Source organism: Homo sapiens, chromosome 1, assembly GCF_000001405.40.
Source record: "Homo sapiens chromosome 1, GRCh38.p14 Primary Assembly".
Taxonomy (NCBI): Eukaryota; Metazoa; Chordata; class Mammalia; order Primates; family Hominidae; genus Homo; species Homo sapiens.
In genome coordinates this window covers 8,688,013-8,709,670 of record NC_000001.11, presented here as the reverse complement: position 1 = coordinate 8,709,670, position 21,658 = coordinate 8,688,013, and the positions used below count along the sequence as shown (strand labels likewise).

Sequence of the window (21,658 nt, the reverse complement as noted above, 5' to 3'; positions counted from 1 at the left end):
AAGAATGGGATGTTAATGGTCTTCTGTAAAGTGAGAGAAGTGACTTGCTGTATAACATAAATAGTGGGATTTCATCTTTGTGACAAAAAATCAACAAGTGAACCCTCAGACAAATGAATACATATGTTTTTATGTATATGTGCATGCTTTTGTACCTATGTTCTAGAGAAGAGCCTGGTAAACCTTCAGCCTGTTAAGTGGAATTGCTTGGATTTTCCGTAGGACCATATACTCTAAAAAAAATCTACAAGGGAGCTGGGTGCCGTGGCTCACCCGTAATCTTAGCACTTTGGGAGGCCGAGGTGGGTGGATTGCTTGAGCTCAGGAGTTCATGACCAACGTGGGCAACATACTGAGACCCTGTCTCAATATAAGAAAAAAAAAAATTAAAAAATCTAAAAGAGCTTCAAGAATTTTATATTTTTCTTTTTTCTTTTAAAAACTCTAGAGTTGCCGGGCACGGTGGCTCACGCCTGTAATCCCAGCACTTTGGGAAGCCAAGGCGGGCAGATCATGAGGTCAGGAGATCGAGACCATCCTGGCTAACACGGTGAAACGCCGTCTCTACTAAAAAAATACAAAAAAAATAAATTAGCTGGGTGTGGTGGCGGGCACCTGTAGTTCCAGCTACTCGGGAGGCTGAGGCAGAAGAATGGCGTGAACCCAGGAGATGGAGCTTGCAGTGAGCCGAGATTGCACCACTGCACTCCAACCTGGGCGACAGAGTGAGACTCTGTCTCAAAAAAAAAAAAAAAAAAAAAAAAACTCCAGAGTTTTTGTTGTCTAGTGACATTTTGGTGAGTTGGAAAAGCAAAAGAAGTAGATAGTTTGCTTAAAATTGTAACTCCATGTATTAGTATATTTTCATGCTGCTGATAAAGACATACCAGAGACTGGGAAGAAAAGAGGTTTAGTGGACTCACAGTTCCACGTGGCTGGGGAGGCGGAAGGCAAAGAAGAGCAAGTCACATCTTCTATGGATGACAGCAGGCAAAGAGATGGAGAGGTTGTGCAGGGAGACTCCCATTTTTAAAACCGTCAGATTGGCCGGGTTCAGTGGTTCATGCCTGTAATTCCAGCACTTTCGGAGACTGAGGTGGGTGGATTCAGTGAGGTCAGGAGTTCCAGACCAGCTGGCCAACATGGTGAAACCCTATCTCTACTAAAAATAGAAAATTAACTGGGTGTGGTGGCACACACCTGTAGTCCCCAGCTACTTGGGAGGCTGAGACAGGAGCATTGCTTGAACCTGGGAGGTGGAGGTTGTGGTGAGCAGAGGTTGCGGTGAGCTGAGATCATGCCACTGCACTCCAGCCTGGGGGTCAGAGTGAGACTCCGCCTCAAAACAAAAACAAAAACAAAAACAAAAAAGCAACCATCAGATGTTGTGAGACTTATCCACTATGACGAAAACAGCATGGGAAAGACCTGCCCCCATGATTCAGTTATCTCCAACCGGGTCCTTCCCACAACATGTGGGAATTATGGGAGCTACAAGATGAGATTTGGATGCGGACAAAGAGCCAAACCATATCCCTCCGTATTCTGTATAGGACAGTAGTTTCCTCTTACCCTTGGGAATGTGTTCCAAGGCCCCCGTGGGTTCCTGAAACTGGATAATACTGAACCCTGTTTTTACTATTTTCCTACACATACCTACCTATGATAAAATTTGATTTATAAGGGAAATTAAATTATCAATAATAAGAACAATTATAACAATACATTGTAATGAAAATTATATGAATGTGGCCTCTCAAAGTATCTTACTGTACCTTAGTCACCTATTTTTGAACTGTAGTTGACTCAGGGTAACTGAAGCCTTGGAAAGCGAAACTGTGGATAAAAGTGGAGTACTGTGTTACAAATCAAATCCTCTCCACCCTAGCATCCTATGCGGACATAGCTAACTGGTACTAATACAATCCTGGATTCAGTCACTGTTTGCTGGATGACGTTGGGGTGTACTTTTGACATTTTGACATGGGTGAGCTAAATTACTTGGTCTGAATGGTTGTACTGGATAATGCTATAGGAAAGAATGTTGATTGTCTCAGGTAACTTGATAGTTAGAATTTTGACACTTATTAGTGTTATTAAATGAGTGCTACTGTTTAAACTTTCATGTAAAAATGCAGTTTCCTTGCTGCCTCGGTGGTCTTGGAAAGTGGCCCAAAGTTGCCATCTTCAGAAGATATGGTTATGATTCTTCCTTTGCTGTGACAGAGCGGAGTGGTGGAGAGAGTCCATGCAGGGTGGTTGCTCCAGGTTAAGGGTCTGGAATAATGTGGGTCCTGTTCAGCTATTGCTAAGGTTCCCCTTCACATTTCCCCTGTGTGATGTTTCTGGTCATAGCTTTAATGTTAGTTTAACTAGACTTTCGATTTAATTATAACTGTTAGGATAAAGTCAGATGTCAGCTCACTTGGCTGCATGCTGAGGCCTGTAGAATATAGAGTGCTTTGCTTCCAGCCACATCTGTTGTCTCCTCTCATTATCTGTTAATGGTACTCAACTTGACAGGGTTGTTTTGATAAATGACGGGTGTTATGGAAACGGAGAGCTGGAATTTGTGTGGAATGGAGCTTAGGACAAAAAGAAGCAATGGTGCAGACCAGGCCAGGGAGATAACATGGGAACCAAGGAATCCCTTGTGGAATGCTGACAGTCATAATGAGTATTAATTTGGGAGGGATGTGGTATATCTAATATTTTTCATTTATCTTACATAATTATTCTTCCTATTACTTTTTCATGTGGTCATGTGCAAAACACCTGAAAAATTATAGTTTTTGTTGTAATAACTTTGATTTTTCCTCTTCACAAAGTAATTTACAAACTCATACTAATGAGGGTTAAAACAAATGTTTCACTTTGAGGAGTACACCCACCATTGAGTTCCTAGGTGGAAAGAGCTCTTTCGAAGGCTTCCATGTCAGGTCTGTTACTTAGAGAAAAAAACCTGAAAATAAAGTAAGTTCAGTGTAAAAGGGAGGTAAGAATGAACTCCCCTCATTCACAGCAGAATTTGGTAGTGCTTTTGCATTCTGAGAAGCTTTGAAGACAAACTAGTGTACAAAGTACTTTCTAAGTTTTATATTCTGTTTATATTGCTCTGTGTGTATACAAGATTTAGTCCTCTGTCCAGTTTACCTGTGGCTGTTTGCATATCCCTTAAGGGCTGGGTAATAGGAAGAACTTGGCTTGAATAAACTAGCGATGGCTTCTATACTTCATTAACTCTTAAAAAGTGTAGCTTGGAAATAGGACACTAGTTAGGATCTCTGTGTTTTTGAGTAACCCCAGGCACAATTATTTTATATCTTCATAAAATGGGGATAAAAATCCTCCTTTTTACTAGACTTTTTATTTTTCTAAATTTTTTTTTAGAGACTGAGTCTTGTTATGTTGCTGGACTCAAACTCCTAGGCTCAAAGGATCCTCCTGTCTCAGCCTCCTGAGCGGCTGGGACTACAGGCGTGAACCACCACTCTTGGCTTACTAGGCTTTTAAAGGTTAATAGAAGACATTCTTTTTTTTTTTTTTTTTTTTTTTTTGGAGACGGAGTCTTGCTCTGTCACCCAGCCTGGAGTGCATGGCAATATCAGCTCACGGCAAGCTCCACCTCCTGGGTTCACACCATTCTCCTGCCTTAGCCTCCCTAGTAGCTGGGACTACAGGTGGCCGCCACCACGCCCGGCTAATTTTTTGTATTTTTAGTAAAGACAGGGTTTCACCATGTTAGCCAGGATGGTCTCGATCTCCTGACCTCATGATCTGCCCACCTCGGCCTCCCAAAGTGCTGGGATTATAGGCGTGAGCCACCGCATCCGGCCAATAGAAGATATTCTTATTTGCATAGATGTTACTTATTTGAGATAGGCTTCTTTGTGCCAAGAAATGTGCAGAGAATATATGGAGTGAGTAAAGCAGTGTTGTTGACCTCAGTTCATTTATTCATTCAACAGATTTGTGTACCTGACATAAATCTACATGATGAGCAAACATATAGAACCTTCTCTATAGAACTCTATGGAACTGTTTAGAAGGGGCTATGAGTGTTAAAAAAAATCACACCCATGACTTACAAACGGAGATCAATGCTGTGAAGGAGGAACACAGTTCTATGAGAACTTATAACAAAGGAACTTGACCTAGAATGGGATCTCAGGGGAAGCTTCTCTGAAAAAGTGATGTTTGACCTGAGATCTGAAGGAGGCTTTAAACGGTCTGTGAGTGGCTGTTTGGGGCTGCAAGGAGATTATTCCTGCTCTGGTGGGAAGAAGCCTGCTGGCCTGTGGTAGAAATCCCTATACCTGGGGGAAGTGGAAAAACTGGTGTAACTGCAAAGTGGGGGGCTGGGTGCAGGTTGGATTAGCAGCAGGTGCAAGATGAGCACAAAAGAATTTGAGTGGCATAAAATGCTGTCAAAGCATTTAGAATCCCTGAGAGACTAGGTACAGTATGAATTCAGAATAGAGCGGTTTGCTTCTTCTCACCAGCCTTTTCCAACTCACTATAAACTGGCACTTTTAAAATGGTCTGTAGAAAAGAAAAAAGAAATTCTTTTCAGCCTGTGCCATGTGTCTGGATATAGCTGGTTAGAAAATTGGAAGTGTGTCCAAGTACAGGAGTAGCTTTGTAGCAAGGCTTTAGGATCAATTTCATCTCTGACATATATGGAGTAATCTCATAGCCACTTGGATATGAAGCAGATTTTCAAGTCACAGGTCCCCCTCAGGATGGTTTCACTGAGGAATGGTGTTTAGTGGAGCTTATAGCAGAGCTAGATTTGCACTACAGACCATCTCTGATTTGTATTGATCACAGCCACCTTTCAGGGGGGCAAAGACATTATGCCTCATCAGCTCTTGCTCTCAGTACATGTGCTGTGTTAGGAGTTTGAGACAGATATTTCTATGTCCTGTAGAATAACTTGATTTGTCTTTAAAGAGAGACCAGCAGAGTTATCTTTAAATAGCAAACATGCATGTGCATGTCTGTTTGGCTGTCTGTGGCAACAAAGCAGGACCCCTGGGTTCTATTCAGCCTGGCCCCACCCCCATCTTGTTGAGAGACTATAGGCAAATCACTTTAATCTGTCTAAATTTCTCTGTTTATTGGAAAGAGAGTACCTGATAATGCAGCCACTTTATAGGGCCTTGGAAAGTCTAATTAACATTTATGAAGCTATTTGAGAGTTCCATGAAACTTGCCTGGAAGGGGAAAGGTGTAATAGTGAAGATACCAGAAGTAATCATTTAAATTTTCAGCTTGTACCTTTCTAATTTGGGTTGACACTGAGTGAACTTAATAGTTAGAATTTGTATTTTATAGGAATACATTTAAAAAATTCCTATACAATGTCTTTGGGAGGACAAAATGATCTTGGCTATCACCACTAGAGAATACATGCTTTAAATGTACTTTAATTTTAATAAAATTTAGCAAGTTGATATATATATTTTTTACCAGAATTAATTGTGGGTGGGTAAGAAATTAGTTTGAAATTAACAGTTGGTAATCTGTTAAGATTCACATAAAAATTGAATTAATGAGGGAGTTTGGAATCTGGTAGCTGGTAGGTTATATGTTTATTTAAAGCCACATGGTAAGGAATGTGCACTTATTTTGCTTCCTTATTAGATGAATTTCAATCATGCACAATTTAAGCTATGTCTTGTCTAACAGATGGATCTTTATTTACTTGTGGAAAAGGGATTGGTGAGATTTTTAAACAAATGGCTTGCAGAGAATTCTTAATGTGTAAGGAAAACTGGGGTCAGAAGTGTTCTTTGACACGAAACAATGCTGCTTTCTCCCGGTGCATCTTTGAAATAAATGTTTAGCTTGTCTGTGATTGTTGGTTGTTTCATCTGCATTTATTAGACGTCAGAGGTGGTTGGCATTAATATTCCTGGCAGAAGCAGAGGCAGCTCTAGGATGTGTGAAATGCTGATCACTCACAGGGATGCGCTGCCTCTTTAATATCTTGCTTGCAGATGCATTTTCTAGCTGACCACGCTATTAAGAGCTGCCATCAATCACGCAGGCTCCCAGTTCCGGCTGTCGGAGGGGAGGGAGGATTGGAGCGGGTGGAGGCTGGCCAAGCAACGAAGGAGATAAAATTGCAGCTGGCATTGTGTGTGCGCGCGCCCGCGGCGGCGGCCAGCAGGGGTGCGCGCGGAGCGGGCTGGGCTCCAGCCCGGGTTTTGCCGGCCGCCGCCGTCGCGGGGAGTCTGCTCTTTCTCTCCCGGCGTCTGGGTCACCGGCATGTGGCAGTGCTGGCCCGGCCTCCCGGGCTGAAGGAGTGCGAGCTGAGTGCCGCGGCCGTGGGCAGCAGGCTCGGGCCAGGGCGGCCGCCTCCCTAGCCGCGGGCGGGGCCCCGCGCGGCCACCGCCTCCCGGAGCCGCCAAGCCGCCGGGACCTGCGCCCGCGCCGCGGTGCCCTGCGGCCGCTCAGGCCTCCTTTTGTTTTAGCAAGTGCACTTCACTCCCCGGGCCCCCACCTGCCCGCCTGCGCCGCCCCTTTCCGCGGGTCCGGAGTTGGCGGGGCCCTGCGCCGGAGGAGGAGGACCAGGCCCGCGGGCTCAGCTCTCGCCGCCAGCGGGCCGCAGGCAAGTGGCCGGCGGCCTCGTGCGTCGAGGGGGACGCGAATCTCGGGCCAGAAAGTTGGACAAGTGCGGGCGGGGGGCTCGGGGTGGGTGCACGGAGTGTTCCAGCCGACCCTAGAAAGATGGAACTCGGGTGTTCCTAAGAATGATGATGGCTTTCCAGGAACGGGGAGTCAGTATTTGCCGTGTCCCATTGCATTTCTGTTGGGCTCACTAGTTTTTAAGTAGCCCCAAACTCTTGAAATCTCAGTTAATTAAATCGAACAGAAAACATTTTTTTGAGGGGGGAGAGAAAACACTATTTAAAAATACATGTATATGTATATATTTTTATTTTTTTCTTCTGAAAGGAAAGTGCTTTTGAAGCCGAGTATAATGCAGAAGTCGCTCTTTGATCAGAAACTTCATTGCTTTACTGTGGAATAAACAAGTTTAAAAATAAAATGAATTTGATGGACTTGATTTGAGGCTACTTAAGTGACAAATGAAATTTTCTTCTTGGACCGAACTACTGTTATTTTGCCAGAGTAGCTAAAATGCGGAGGTACTCTTGACGATTGTTTTACGTTTAAATTGTTAAAAGAATTTTTTAGTGTGGGATGCTGTCTTCCTTGTTTCTCCTCTCTTGTTTACTCAACTCTTGTTTTCTGAAACTGTAGGGAGACCTGCTTGACCACTTTTTGTTTGCTGAGAAGGAAACTCCTGTAATAGGTTACTTTGTTTTACTTGCAGCCCTTAAGCGTCCCTGGCGCACATGTGCCCCGCGCTCTGTGGGCATTGTTTGGCTGGAGGCCTCTCAGCCACACGGAAAATCTAAAAAATGGTCTGTGAATGAACACGGGTGTCTACAGAGAAATTCCATTTTCCCTTTGTGCCTCTGTGTTTTAAGATTGAGACACTGAGTAAAAGTTGAGAACAGATTTAACAAAGTCCTCACAATTCTGTGCCAAAATTACTGTTTTGAGTTCTGGCTTTTTTTTTTTTTTCCTCTTTCTGGAAACTCCAAATTTAAAGTAGACATGATTTGAAACCTTACAGATGGGAACAATATCCCATGTAAGCACGTTGATCTGTGGGCAATTATTTCCAGAAGCACAACCAACTCTACATTTTTATGCATGTGTTAGACTTGGGCTCTGAGAGGCAGTTGCCTTTCTGAATATTTACATTGCCTAGTAAATTACACAAGGCAGATTTTTAGATGCTTAACAGCAGCTTCACAATAGTGTGGGGGCAGCAGAGTTGAGCTTGTATTTTTTTTTTCTAACTCTGTAATTTAGTAGTGTTTAAACTATTTTATAAAGATCCCTGGGACCAGTGAAAGATGGTTTTTCAGTCCAGAGCAGTTGAGCGCTCATTGTACTCCGGCAGGCGCTGGCGCTTGGCAGGCTGCACTTGAAATGTTATTTGATCTGGTTGCATGATAGAATTGACCAAGATTACACTTTTTCCCTCCCCGTGGCTGATGAAAGCAATGCATCTGCGAGAAGTGTTCAATAACATATTTAAAGACTTAACCCACATTCATTCACTCTAAGATTTCCAGAAAAAGGCCGTTTAGATTTTTGTCTTGTTTTGTGGTTTTTGCATTTATGAATTGAGGCAAGAGCTGACGTAATGTAGCTGTACCACTTCCTTTGTGTGTGTGTTTTTATAGCGTATAGGATATGTTACAATCTACATGGTTGTGATTATTTTTGAAATGCCTGAGAGAGGGAGGGAGGGAGTGTGTGCGTGTGTGTGTGTGTGTGTGTGTGTGTGTGTGTGTGTATTCCCCTCACCCCCATCCCGGTGCCTTCAGCTATATGGCAATTCATTTTTTACATTGTAGGTTAGGGGAGGGAAGACTGTGATGGTAAACCCCATCAACGTATCAGTAAGGCTCAGTGAATTGCCTGTGTGTGATGCAGACTAGCTTTTCATTTTAACTAGTGCAACTGTGTACAGCTGTTAGGTCAGAATGCATTGGCTGCTCCTACAGGGTAGTTTTATCTTACACTGAAGGTTTTATGGACTTGACTGGTTGTGTTTCTTAATCCCTCTCCCATGCCACCGTGCTTGCTTTTAAGCAAGTGATAGAACAAGACAAGCTTTTGTTTACTTATTTAATAGTTGACTTGTGAGAGATTTATTTTTGATTTTGAGGAAATTGGTAAACCATGTAACTTATTAGTAGGTATTATATTTACCATGCTTTTCCAAGGCCAAAGGGTTTTGCTTGCTATTGTGTAGGCTGAGAAGCCGATGGAGCCATCCATTTTATAATGACATAGGAAGCCAATATTTTGTGTAAAAATCAACAATGAAAAATGGGTTCTTTGTTAACTAGTCTAGGATTAGTTTGTAAAACTCAAGCAGAAATAAATGTTGGCATCATTGGAGATAAGGTGGCTAGAATGTTTCCCCCTTGTCTCTTACCTCTCGTTACATTGTACAAAAGGACTTGAGCAACCCATTGACCAACAGCAGTTTGGCCATGGGCTGGGTGGCACATAGAAGCTTTTAGACGTGTCTGCTCAGGGGCATGTGTGGCCAACTTGATATTTTATAGTGTTATTGTTTCAAGTTATTAGAAAGTATTTATGAGTAGATTTGAGTCTTTTCAGGCTTTTCAGGCTGTAACATAGATTGTAATGTGACTGACATGGGTTCTCAGTGGTCTGGTCTCTTTACTGTCTGCTTTCCTGTTGAGTAGATACTACTGTCCAGAGCTGTTATTATCTACTGCATTTATTTTTATTTTTATTTTTTTTGAGTTGGAGTCTCACTCTGTCACCCAGGCTGGAGTGCAATGGCATGGTCTCGGCTCACTGCAGCCTCCGTCTCCCGGGTTCAAGTGATTCTCCAGCCTCAGCCTCCTGAGTAGCTGGGACTACAAGCGTGTGCCACCACGCCTGGCTAATTTTTGTATTTTTAGTAGAGATGGGGTTTCACTATGTTGGCGAGGTTGGTCTCGAACTCCTGACCTTGTGATCCACTCGCCTCGGCCTCCCAAAGTGCTGGTATTACAGGCATGAGCCACTGCGCCTGGGCTATCCATTGCATTTTTAAAAAGGAGCAAAAGTCGTAGAAACAAACTTGATTGAAATCTGTTTATGACTAAAGCTGATATTATAAATGTGGTACCTTTGTGTCAGAGGCCCAGTTTGCTGATAGAAGATGGGGGCTGAGGGTTGTTGGGGCGGAGTGGGATCTCGTGGGGGTGGCTGGGTAGAAAGAGAGCTTGTCTTAGACTAAGATACTTTTTAATTCATTGGAGAAATTGGTCCATCTTCAGACAACCTGGAATGAAGCAGTAGAGTGCAGTATTTTCTAGAAAACGTGATAATTTCATTGTAACTTATATAGAAAATGTTTTCTCTAATTAAAAGAAGTTAAAACATTCAGATTGGCAACAGACTGCTGAATCCAAGGAATAATGGAGGGAAGTAGGTATCCTACATCCAATTCAAACAGGTTATATCACAAGTTCATTTGTAAGTCTTTTTCCAGGTTGTTATCCAATTCCACATATTAATGATGATTGGGGTCTTAGACTTTCCCTCTAAAATCTAATTAATCCATGAAATAGTTGACATACTTAAATATTTGTAATAAAACAGAATAATGTTGATGCTTAGTCAATAGGAAAATTAGCATAATTTTACTCAATTTTTAATGTTATCATTGAACTCTGGTGTAATTCATTAATTTATTCAGTACAGCGTAGTGGTAAATAGTTAGGCTGTCTGAGTTTGAGTTCTATTCTTAGTTTACCACTTACTCACTGTGATACCTGGGGTAAGTTATTTAACCTCTGTGACTGTTTTCTCATACCAGAAAATAATGAGTCTACCTAGAGGGTTTACGAAATGCTTTAGGACCATGCTTAGCATGGGAAAACAGTGAATAGTTAACATAGTGAGCACTAATTATGTACTAGGTACTGTTTTAGTTGCTGAAGATACAAAAAAGATGAAGTCTCTGTTCTCATAGCATTTATTTTCCAGTGGAGGAGGACAAAACAAATAAAAATGAGCATGATGATTCGTGAAACTTACAAACATAATTTCTGAGCAGGTTAGTGAGCCATGATTGCACCACTGCACTCCAGCCAGAGTGACAGGGCAAGACCCTGTCTCATTGAAAAACAAAAAAGAAGAAAACATTTAATTTTAGAGTATTAATCAGAAGCTTCTTGTTAAGATAATAAGAATATAATGGGTAAGTATGGGAGATCATTATAAAAGTAAAGTGTTGGGGCCAGGTGCAGTGGCTCACGTCTGTAATCCTAGCATTTTGAGAGGCCCTATTGGGAAGATCTCGATCTCTGGAGTCCAGAAGTTCAAGACTAGCCTTGGCAACATAGCGAGACCCTGTCTCTATCTATTAAAAAAAATAAAAATAGAAAAAGTAAAGTATTTATGCTGTTAATGATTTGAAATAATCACTTGTTCTAAAGCTGAACAATTAGATTTGTTTCTCATATCTTGTTTTCCACAAGATGAATGAGCTTTTGTAGTTGTAGTTTTAAGAAAGGGTCCATTTATATGTGACTGGTGGGCTTCAAAGGAACAAAAGAGTGTAAATATACTGTGCATTTGAAAAATCGCTTAAGTCAAAAGCCTCCAGATGGTGTGTGCTGCTGTGTTCACAGCTGTATTTACCAGTAGCTCACCACATTATCTACCAATAATTTTAAAATAGCTGGGTAGAAACAGTGGTATATTCAGCAGTAGTGACTTGTGTGCCTTTTAATAAAATGACAGTGAAAGTACCTCCTTTTGCATGTTCTTCAGGATTTCTTAGTTGGGGCAGTTTATGTTTTGCACAAACAACCTGAGTTTACATACAGAAGCAGATAACCAAGTTATTTTTATGTGGTGGTCTCTCAGGAATGAGGCTGGGGAAATTCTGCCGATCTGTATCACTCAAAGATGTTTTTGTTTTACTCACCAGCTTTATAATTTTAAACATTTAAAAAATGTTAAATATAGGCTACTCTGCCTAAGGAATAGCCGTTCTTTATTCCTTTGCTTTCTTAATAAACTTGCTTTCACTTAAAATGTTAAATATATGTAATTGATAACTTATACATAAATAATATTATAAGGTGAGTCTTGTGTGATGACATTCTTTGGCATTACCAACAAAAAAAGACAGGCCTTTCAATACCCAGATCTACTCCCTAATATGAACTTTTTTTTTCTATTCCAAAGATTTAATACAAGTTCTTTTGGAAGGACTCAAAATTTTAAGTCTTATTATTTTTGGCCACAGACACTACTGTTCATTTGCTTAGTAAAGTGAATGGCTTGCATAAGTTACATGTAAAACATAGAAAAAGAGTTTAGAACATTATCCAGGAACTTTAGAAAGTTGTGTGTGGTAGGTTGGGTGTGGTGGCTCGCGCCTGTAATCCCAGCACTTTGGGAGGCCGAGGCGGCGGATCACGAGGTCAGGAGATCGAGACCGTCCTGGCTAACATGGTGAAAAACATTTTGTAAAAATACAAAAAATTAGCCGGGTGTGTTGGCGGGTGCCTGTAGTCCCAGCTACTCGGTAGGCGGAGGCAGGAGAATGACGTGAACCTGGGAGGCGGAGCTTGCAGTGAGCTGAGATCACGCCACTGCACTCCAGCCTGGGGGACAGAGTGAGACTCCGTCTCAAAAAAAAAAAAAAGTTGTGTGGGGGGGGTGTGGTTGGGGGAAGAAAGATACATGTGTATTTATTTATTAATTGATTAAATTATACAGAAAAACCTATATCTAGATTGAACATTTGAACAATTTTTTCTTTTTGTTTTTGCTGTTTATTTCTTACTGTTACCTTCTTTTTTGAGTGGTAGGAAAATGACGCAGACAAGTTTTCATCTTATGTGTATGTTTTTTGGCTATTTACCTAGGCAGCTTCCTTAGCCTGTGCTCTTTCCACAGATCATAATTCTTAACATAGGTTAGAGTAAATGTTCAGTAATGAAATATTCACCTTTCTCAATATGTTAGATGTTCATGGAAAGGACTCTTAACAGTATTTACTCTTAAGTGTGTTGGGTGCAGGAGCAATTTGAGTTTGGATCTTATTATTTTTTTCACTAGTACCTCCATTACATTTTATTTACTTTTTTTTTTTGATAATTTCAACTGTTTTTATTTTATTTTTTATTTTTGAGATGGAGTCTTGCTCTGTTGCCGAGGCTGGAGTGCAGTGGCGCAATCTCAGCTCTCTATAATCTCTGCCTCCTGGGTTCAAGCTATACTCCTGCCTCAGCCTCCTGAGTAGCTGGGACTACAGGCGCCTGCCACCATGCCCTGCTAATTTTTGTATTTTTAGTAGAGATGGGGTTTCACCGTGTTGGCCAGGCTGGTCTCGAACTCCTGACCTCAGGTAATCCACTCGCCTCAGCCTCCCAAAGTGCTGGGATTACAGGCGTGAACCACCGCGCCCAGCCTTGTTCGTTTATTTGTGAGAGTGTCTCACTCTGTTGCCTAGGCAGGAGTTCAGTGGCACAATCTCAGCTCATTGCAACCTCCACCTTGCGGGTGCAAGCGATTCTTTTGCCTCAGCCTCCTGAGTAGCTGGGACTACAGATGTGTGCCACCACACCTGGCTAATTTTTATCTTTTTAGTAGAGATGGGGTTTTACCATGTTGCCCTGGCTAGTCTCCCAACTCTTGAGCTCGGGTGATCTGCTCACCTCTGCCTCCCATAGTGCTGGGATTACAGACGCGAGCTACCGTACCCAGCCTGTACCACATTTTCTTTATCAGTCCATCATTGGTGGGTTCCTAGGTTGATTCCATGTCTTTGGTATTGTGTATAGCGCTGTGATGAACATACGAGTGCATGTGTATTTTTGGTAGAACGATTTAATTTCTTTTGCATGTATACCTGGTAATGGGAAATCTCCAAACTGCTTTCCACAGTGGCTGAACCAATTTATGTTCCCACCAACAGTGTATAACTGTTCCCTTTTATCCACAGCCTCACCAGTGTCTGTTGTTTTTTGGCTTTTTAATAATAGCCATTCTGACTGGCGTGAGACGATATTTCATTGTGGTTTTGATTTGCATCTCTCTGATGATGAATGATGTTAAACATTTTATCATATTTGTTGGCCACTTGTATGTCTTCTTTTGAGGAATGTCTGTTAATGCCTTTTGCTTAGTTTGTAATGGGGTTATTTGTTTTCTGCTTGTTGTATTGTTAAAGTTCCTTATAGATTCTGGGTATTAGACCTTTGTCAGATGCATGATATTTAAATATTTTCTGCTATTTTGTAGGTTGTCTGTTTACTTTGTTGACAGTTTTGTTTTTTTGAGTTGGAGTCTCACCCTGTTACCCAGACTGGAGTGCAGTGGCGTGATCTCAGCTCGCTGCAACCTCCACCTCCCAGGTTCAAGTGATTCTCTGCCTCAGCCTCCCAAGTAGCTGGGATTACAGGCGCTCACTACCATGCCTGGCTTTTTTTTTTTTTTTTTTTTTTTTTTTAGTAGAAATGGAGCTTCACCATGTTGTTCAGGCAGATCTCAAACTGCTGACCTCAGGTGATCCGCCCCCCTGGGCCTCCCAAAATGCTGGGATTATAGGCATGAGCTACCATGCCTGGCCCTTTGTTGATAGTTTCTTTTGCTGTGCAGAAGCTCTTTAGTTTAATTAGGTCCCAGTTGTCAATTTTTGTTTTTGTTGCAGTTGCTTTTGAGGACTTAGTCATAAATTATTTCCTAAAGCCAAGGGTCGGAATGGTGTTTTTTAGGTTTTCTTCTGGGATTTTTACAGTTTGTGGTCTTGCATTTAAATATTTAATCCACCTTGAGTTGATGTTTATATATGGGAAAAGGTAGCGGTCCAGTTCTGCATATGGCTAGCTAGCTATCCCAGCACCATTTTTTGAATAGGCAGTCCTTTACCCATTGCTTGTTTTTGTCAGCATTGTCAAAGATCAGATGGCTGTAGGTTTATGACTTTATTTGTAGGTTCTCTATTCTGTTTCATTGGTCTATGTGTCTGTTTTTGTACCTGTACCCTCCTGTTTTGATTACCGTAGCCTTATAGTATAGCTTGAAGTTGGATAATGTGATGCTGCCAGCATTCCCCCCCCCCCCTTAGGATTTCTTTGGCTCTTTGGGTACTTTTTTTGGTTTCATATGAATTTTAGAATTACTTTGTTTAATTCTGTGAAAAATGACATTAGTAGTTTGATAGGAATAGCATTAAATCTGTAGATTGCTTAGGAAAGTGTGGTCATTTTAATGATTCTTCCAATCTATGAGCATCAAATGTTTTTCCATTTGTGTCATCTGTCATTTCTTTTTTTTTTGAGATAGAGTCTCGCTTTGTCACCCAGCCGTGAATGCAGAGGTATGATCTTGGCTCATTTCAACCTCTGCCTCCCGGGTTTAAATGATTCTCCTGCCTCAGTCTCCCGAGTAGCTGGAACTACAGGCATGTGCCACCACGCCCGGCTAATTTTTGTATTTTTAGTAGAGATGGGGTTTCACCATATTGATCAGGCTGGTCTTGAATTCCTGACCTTGTGATCTGCCCGCCTCAACCTCCCAAAGTGCTTGGATTACAAGCGTGAGCCACCCCGCCCAGCCCACCTGTCATTTCTTCTAGCAGTGTGTTTTAGTTCTCTTTGCAGAGATTTTCCCCCTCCTTGGTTAGGTGTATTCCTAGTTATTTTCTTTCTTTATGGCTATTATAAATAGGATTGCATTCTGGATTGGCTCTCAGCTTCAACATTATTGGTGTATAGACATACTGCTGAGTTTTGTACATTGACTTTGTATCCTGAAACTTTTACTGAAGTTGTTTATTGTACCAGGAGTCTTTTGATGGCGTCTTCAGGGTTTTCTAGGTATAGAATCATATTGCCAGCAAAGAGCAGTAGCTTGACTTCTTCTTTTCCTGTTTGGATGCCTTTTATTTCTTTCTGTTGCCTGATTGCTCTGGCTAGCACTTCCTGGCTCTTTGAATGGAAAAGGAGAACTAAAAGTGCGGAAAATGTAAGGATTAAAGCAATCTGGCCTTTTTTTTTTTTTTTTTTGGGAAAGAAAATTGGTGTTGTTCAGTTTTGCTAACAGGCCTAACATTTAAGCATTTAGATAAGTAGCATTTTATTTTATATGGTAGATTAAAACATTAAAAAATTTTAAAACATTAAATCAGTAGACTAGTTTTTAGAATGGTTTTGGGTTTGCAGATAAATTGAGTAGAAAGTACAGAGTTCCCGCATCCCCCCTAACTCCCAGTTTCCCCTATTAACATCTTGAATTAGTTTGGTACATTGTTATTGTTGATGAGCCAATATTGATACATTATTTATAACTAAAGTCTATAGTGTATGTTAAGGTTCACTCTTGGTGTTATACATTCCATGGGTTTTGAAATGTTTCATAACATGCATCTACCATTACAATATCATATAGAAGAGTCTTTACTGCTCTAAACATGCCCTATGTTCTCCCTATTCATCCCTCCCTCTCTGCCCCCAAGCCCCTGGCCACCACTGATCTTTTTTAATATCTCCATAGGTTTGCTTTCCAGATGTCATATAACTGGACTCATACAGTATGTAGTCTTTTCAGATTGGTTTATTTCTCTTAGCAAAATGTACTTAAGGTTTCTCCATGTCTCTGTGAGCATGATAGCTCACTACTTTTTATCACTGATAATATTCCATCATGTAGCTGTGCTGAAGTTTATTTATCTGCTTACCTACCGAAGGACATCTGGATTGCTTCCAGGTTTTGGCAATGATGAATAAAGCTGCTTTAAGCATCTGTGTGCAGTTTTTTGTGGTGAGATAAGTTTTCAGCTCCTTTGAGTAAATATGAAGGTGTGTGATTTCTGTGTCCCATGGTAAGAGTATGTTTAGTTTTGTAAGAAACGGCCATGCTGTCTTGCGAGGTGTCTCTAGCATTTTGCATTCCCACAAGCAATGAATGAGAGTTTCTGTTGCTCCACATACTTGCTACCATTTGGTGTTGTCAGTGTAGTGGATTTTAGCCCTTCTTAGTTATTAAATTTTTTTTTTCATATAACTGCTCATTTCCGATGCCAGCTCTGTTACAGTTTTTATTTTTCTCTACTATTTGTCATGGAGCAGGAGAAACGAGGACCATAAATCTTATGCATTACATGTGCCTCATACTCTGTCTTGTAAGCGGAAAGCATAAACTTTAGATGTAAAAAGGAATAATACAATCTAATTAGATTTTTAAATGGGCATAATTCTGGTAGAGTGATAGGTTAGGGTTCATGTAAAATATGCTACACTAAGCCCTTTGTATTCTTGGCTTCTGTGTCCACGGATTTAATCAACTGTGGGGCAAAAATGTTTAGAAAAAAGCACAAATTAAAAAATATAGCGTTTATATTATATTAGGTATTATACGTAATCTAGAGATTCTTTTTAAAGTATACCGGGCCGAATACGGTGGCTCATGCCTGTAATCCCAGCACTTTGGGAGGCCTAGACGGGCAGATCACTTGAGATCAGGAGTTAGAGACCAGCCTGGCCATTATAGTGAAACCCTGTCTCTACTAAAAATACAAAAATATTAGCCAGATGTGGTGGTAGGCGCCTCTAGTCGCAGCTACTCGGGAGTCTGGGGCGGAAGAATCGCTTGAAATGGGAGGCAGAAGTTGCAGTGAGCTGAGATCACACCACTGCACTCCAGCCTGGGTGACACAGTGAGACTCCATCTCAAAAAAAAAGAAAAAAAAAAAGTATATGGGAGAATGTGAGTAGGTTATATGCAGATACTATACCGTTTTATATACGAGTGTCTGGATATTGGTATCTGTGGAGGTTCTGGAACCAGTTCCCCTTGGATACCGAGGGATGACCGTAGTATGAATTTGTTAGTGGTTCCATGTAAGTGTTATTTCCCCTCAGTTTCCCTGTGTTCTTCGTTTTCCAAAACATTTCATTTTATAAAACAAAGGGATGCTTTTCAGTTTTTAGAAATAAACCCATTCTGCTAAGGTCCTTATTTGCTAGATCTATGTAGAGTTAAATGTTTGTATTATTTTCTTTCTTTATTGAGGACCATTTATTTTAATGATCAAGGAACTCAGAAATGCAGAAGATTTGGTCCTGTCCTTGGAGCTTGTAATATATCCAGTAATAATTGCAGCAGTGCATATTCAGGGGCTTACTATGCAACAGGTACTGTGCACTTCTTAGAGGAGGTTAGAACTACTTCCAGGGTAAGCTAAGTTAGAGCGTTTGACTCTGCATTTATCCAGTACTAGCTACTTGTTGGAATTTAACATCAGCCTAATTGTGGCATATAAGTACCCAGTGCCTTGGTTGTTAAGATGATTTGGATAGGCTCTCCTGATGGTTATGTAGTTCATTAATTCTTGTTACAGGTCCTTAACTTTATTTTTATCAGGGACTTCTTTGAGTATTGGTGTAATATATGATCTTTCTCCCAGAACATAATTTGTGACTGTTTGAGTACATAAATTGCAGATGGTTTATGTAGCCTTTGAAGCCTATCCATGAACCCTCTCATTAAGAACTCCTATTCTGGTGAGCCCTAGATCTATGTTTGAATGACTAGGAAGGCTTTGCATTTCTTATTTTTGGCAGGTTTGCTTTACTTATATTGATTTGAGGCCATTGACTTGTGCGAACACTTGTGGAACAGTGTTTGTGTGTACTGAATGGTTTATAAAGGGGTTCCCAAGGCTGCTGTTGACCGTATTAAACTGCTTTCTTTATGAGGACATAGAGATAAACTTTTCTTAGCTCTTAGTACCAAAAAAAACCAGACCTTCTGAGCATGTGGTTTGTTTTCTAACTTACAGATTTAGAATCCTGTAACTCATCAAGTTTCCTTTGAGCCATTTGCTTGTAAAATTTTGGCCGGCCGGGCACGGTGGCTCATGCCTGTAATCCCAGCACTTTGGGAGGTGGAGGCGGGCAGATCACAAGGTCAAGAGATCGAGACCATCCTGGCCAACATGGTAAAACCCCGTCTGTACTAAAAATACAAAGATTAGCTGGGCGTGGTGGTGCGCGCCTATAGTCCCAGCTACTCAGGAGGCTGAGGCAGGAGAACTGCTTGAACCTGGGAGGCAGAGGTTGCAATAAGCCGAGATTGCACCACTGCATTCCAGCCTGGTGACAGAGCGAGACACCGTCTCAAAAATAAATAAATAAATAAATAAAAATAAAAAATAAACTAAAATTTTGGCCACATCTAACAAAAGGTACAAAATGAACATGAATACATACTTTTATGTAGCAGCTCATTCATGGTTTCATCTTTTAGATTCTCCTCCTCTTCTATTTTTTCCTTTGTTCCAAGGAAAAGAGAAGCAAATATTGTATAATTAAAAGTAAAGGCTTTGTAGCCTGTGTGACCCGTGAAACTAGGTGTGTGACCTAAGGAAACTATCCACAAAGGTAAATACTTAATACTTCTTAGCTATTATTCTCCACCAAATACCCTCATCTGTTCTTAAATTTTATTTTACATTGTCTAAATCTCAGTAAGCTACCTTCAGCCCCCTTTAAAGCCATCCTTTCAAACTATCTTTCTCTCTCGATACAAAGATTTAATTTCTGCCTAGAGACAATCAGTAAAGAAATTGTGTAGGCGAGTGCCGTGGACTGAATTGTATTGCCTCAAAATTCCTATGTTCAAGCCTTAGCTTTCCGTTCCCCAAGTGCTATAGTATTTGGAGGTGGAGCCTTTGGAAGGCAGTTAGGTTTAGATGAGATCCTGAGGGTGGGGCTCCTCATGATGTGATTAGTGTCCTTATAAGAAGAGGAAGAGAGACCAGAGATGACCAGTGCTCACTCTGACATGTAAGGACACAGCCCCAGAAGGTGGCCATTTGCAAGCTAGGAAGAGAGCCCTCATTGAGAAAGTGAATCTGCTGGCACCTTGATCTTGGACTTCTGAGACTCCGAAACTGCAAGCGATAAATTTTTGCTGTTTAAGCCACCCAGTCTGTGGTATTCTGTTATGGCGGACTAATACAGAGCATAAATTTTATACCTGCAGAAGATGATCAGTATGTTACTACAGAGACTGAGCTTTTTGAGAACGAAATGAGGATTATACTTCTCTTGGCAGAAGACTTTAGACCTACTGAACAGCCTTTACTGGCCTCTAGTTCCATCCTTACAGCTGCCTTCTGAAGGAGGCAGAACAGATGTTAGCCTCTCAGGTTACACAAAATGAGATGCAAGTGTAGGGCAGTTCATTGAGTTTCCCACATTTACAGTTTACATTTTGGAAGTGGCTAACTAAGCCTGTTAGTAGTTTTTTTTTTTTTTTTCCTGTATCCATTGCTCCTTCGATGGGCACCTTAATTTGTCAGTCTTATAATCGCTTTGCTTAGAAGAATATAACCTTTATTTTTAGTCCCTGTGGTGATTTGATTTTCAAGGTGAAGAACTCTCTCACTTCTCACATTCTGGCATGGGAACTGAAACTTCAGTGGGGAAATTATTGAATTATCTTTCCTGTCTCAGGGAAAAAATATGAATTCCTTGGCCTGCTGTTTAGATTTGAAGTATAAAATTTCTTTGAAGTGTCATAACTCTAAGAAATGTGATATTACCTGAATTAGTACTTGTGATATTGTATCCTTTCATTTTTATACAGGTATTGGTTTGTTACTCAGTCTTGCTGATGAATGTCTGTAATAGGATAGAGGAGTTATTTGTGGCTATCTACAACCAGAAAATTGCTGTTTATTTTAGTCAAAGTGATTTGAGTATGTCTTCATCAAAGGGATAAAGCAGGAATGCCAGAAACTATAAACTTTAGTCAACTAAAGAAGAAAAACAACCAAACCAAAGGCCAAAAACTCCATCCTTAATTCTGCCCTTCATTCTGAAAGAATTCTGAGTCTCTACAAAGTTTATATTCATAAGCTGTCAGAACATACTTAATTTGCTCCATTTTCCATTGAAATTTCAACAAAGAAACTAAAAAAAAAATCAAATTTTTACTTGATAAAACTATTTCTTTAGATTAAAAGCTTGGAATAGATTTTTAAAAAAGCTTTATTGAGAGAAAATTCCTATACGAGATAGCTCACTCATTTAAAAAGTATACAAATCAATGGTTTCCAGTATATAGCTGTTCCTTGACTTAAGATGGAGTTGTGTCCCAGGAAACCCATCCTAAGTTGAAAATACATGTCGAAAATGAATTTAATTCACCTAATCTACCAAAATCCATAGCTTAGCTTAGCCGATGTTACACATGCTCAGAACACTTGCATTAGCCTACAGTTGGGCAAAATCATCTAACATAAATCCTATTATATAAGAAAGTGTTGGATATCTCATGGTATATATGTATGAGTGGATGAATGGATGGACAAATGGACAGACAGATAGATGTTTTGCCCAGTGGCACGATCATAGCTCCCATGCTCAAGTTATCCTCCCACCTTAGCTTCTGGAGTAGCTGGGAGGCTACAGGTGTGTGCCACTATGCCTGGCTAATTTTTTAATTTTAATTTTAATTTTTTTTTTTTTGAGATGGAGTCTTACTCTTTTGCCCAGGCTGGAGTGCAGTGGTACAATTTTGGCTCACTGCAACCTCCACCTCCTGGGTTCAAGGGATTCTTCTGCCTCAGCCTCCCAAGTAGCTAGGATTACAATAGCAGGTGCTGCGCCCAGCTGATTTTTGTATTTTTAGTAGAGACGGGGTTTCACCATGTTACCCAGGCTGGTCTTCGACTCCTGAGTTCAGGTCATCCGCCTTTGCCTCCCAAAGTGTTGGGATTACAGGCATGAGCCACCATGCCTGGCCTTAAATTTTTTGTAGAGATAGGGGTCTCATGTTCTCCAGGCTCCTCTCAAACTCGTTGGTTCAAGCGATCCTCCTGACTTGGCCTTCCAAAGTGTTGAGATTATAGGCGTTAGTCGCTGTGCCCTGAACTGAAAGTGAAAAATGGAATAGTTGTGTGGTTACCTAGAGTATGTTTTCCACTGAATGCGTATCACTTTTGGACTGTTGTTAATTTGAAAAAATCGTATGTTAGACCCTCTTAAGTTGGGGACCATCTGTGTTCATAGAGTTG

The 21,658-nt window shown here is 40.9% G+C and overlaps 1 protein-coding gene across 2 annotated transcripts in view, besides 4 other annotated features; it reads left to right on the top strand.

Moving 5' to 3' along the window:
• RERE (arginine-glutamic acid dipeptide repeats) overlaps nt 1-21,658 on the top strand; it is a 465,237-nt gene that overhangs the window by 107,970 nt on the left and 335,609 nt on the right. The gene's annotated exons all lie outside the window — the stretch shown is intronic.
• Nucleotides 6,018-6,637: a silencer, noted in NCBI's record as "silent region_200". NCBI's record gives its function as "represses an Ori minimal core promoter by ATAC-STARR-seq in GM12878 lymphoblastoid cells {active_cell/tissue: GM12878}" and the evidence as "EXISTENCE:reporter gene assay evidence [ECO:0000049][PMID:35858748]".
• Nucleotides 8,353-8,452: a silencer, noted in NCBI's record as "silent region_199". NCBI's record gives its function as "represses an Ori minimal core promoter by ATAC-STARR-seq in GM12878 lymphoblastoid cells {active_cell/tissue: GM12878}" and the evidence as "EXISTENCE:reporter gene assay evidence [ECO:0000049][PMID:35858748]".
• Nucleotides 16,207-16,501: a silencer, noted in NCBI's record as "tiled region #13529; HepG2 Repressive non-DNase unmatched - State 19:H4K20, and K562 Repressive DNase matched - State 14:Gen5'". NCBI's record gives its function as "represses a minimal TATA promoter and a strong SV40 promoter by Sharpr-MPRA in HepG2 and K562 cells {active_cell/tissue: HepG2 | K562}" and the evidence as "EXISTENCE:reporter gene assay evidence [ECO:0000049][PMID:27701403]".
• Nucleotides 18,492-18,992: an enhancer, noted in NCBI's record as "H3K4me1 hESC enhancer chr1:8750738-8751238 (GRCh37/hg19 assembly coordinates)". NCBI's record gives its function as "activates a minimal SCP1, AML or CMV promoter by ChIP-STARR-seq in naive H9 embryonic stem cells {active_cell/tissue: H9 hESC(naive)}" and the evidence as "EXISTENCE:reporter gene assay evidence [ECO:0000049][PMID:30033119]".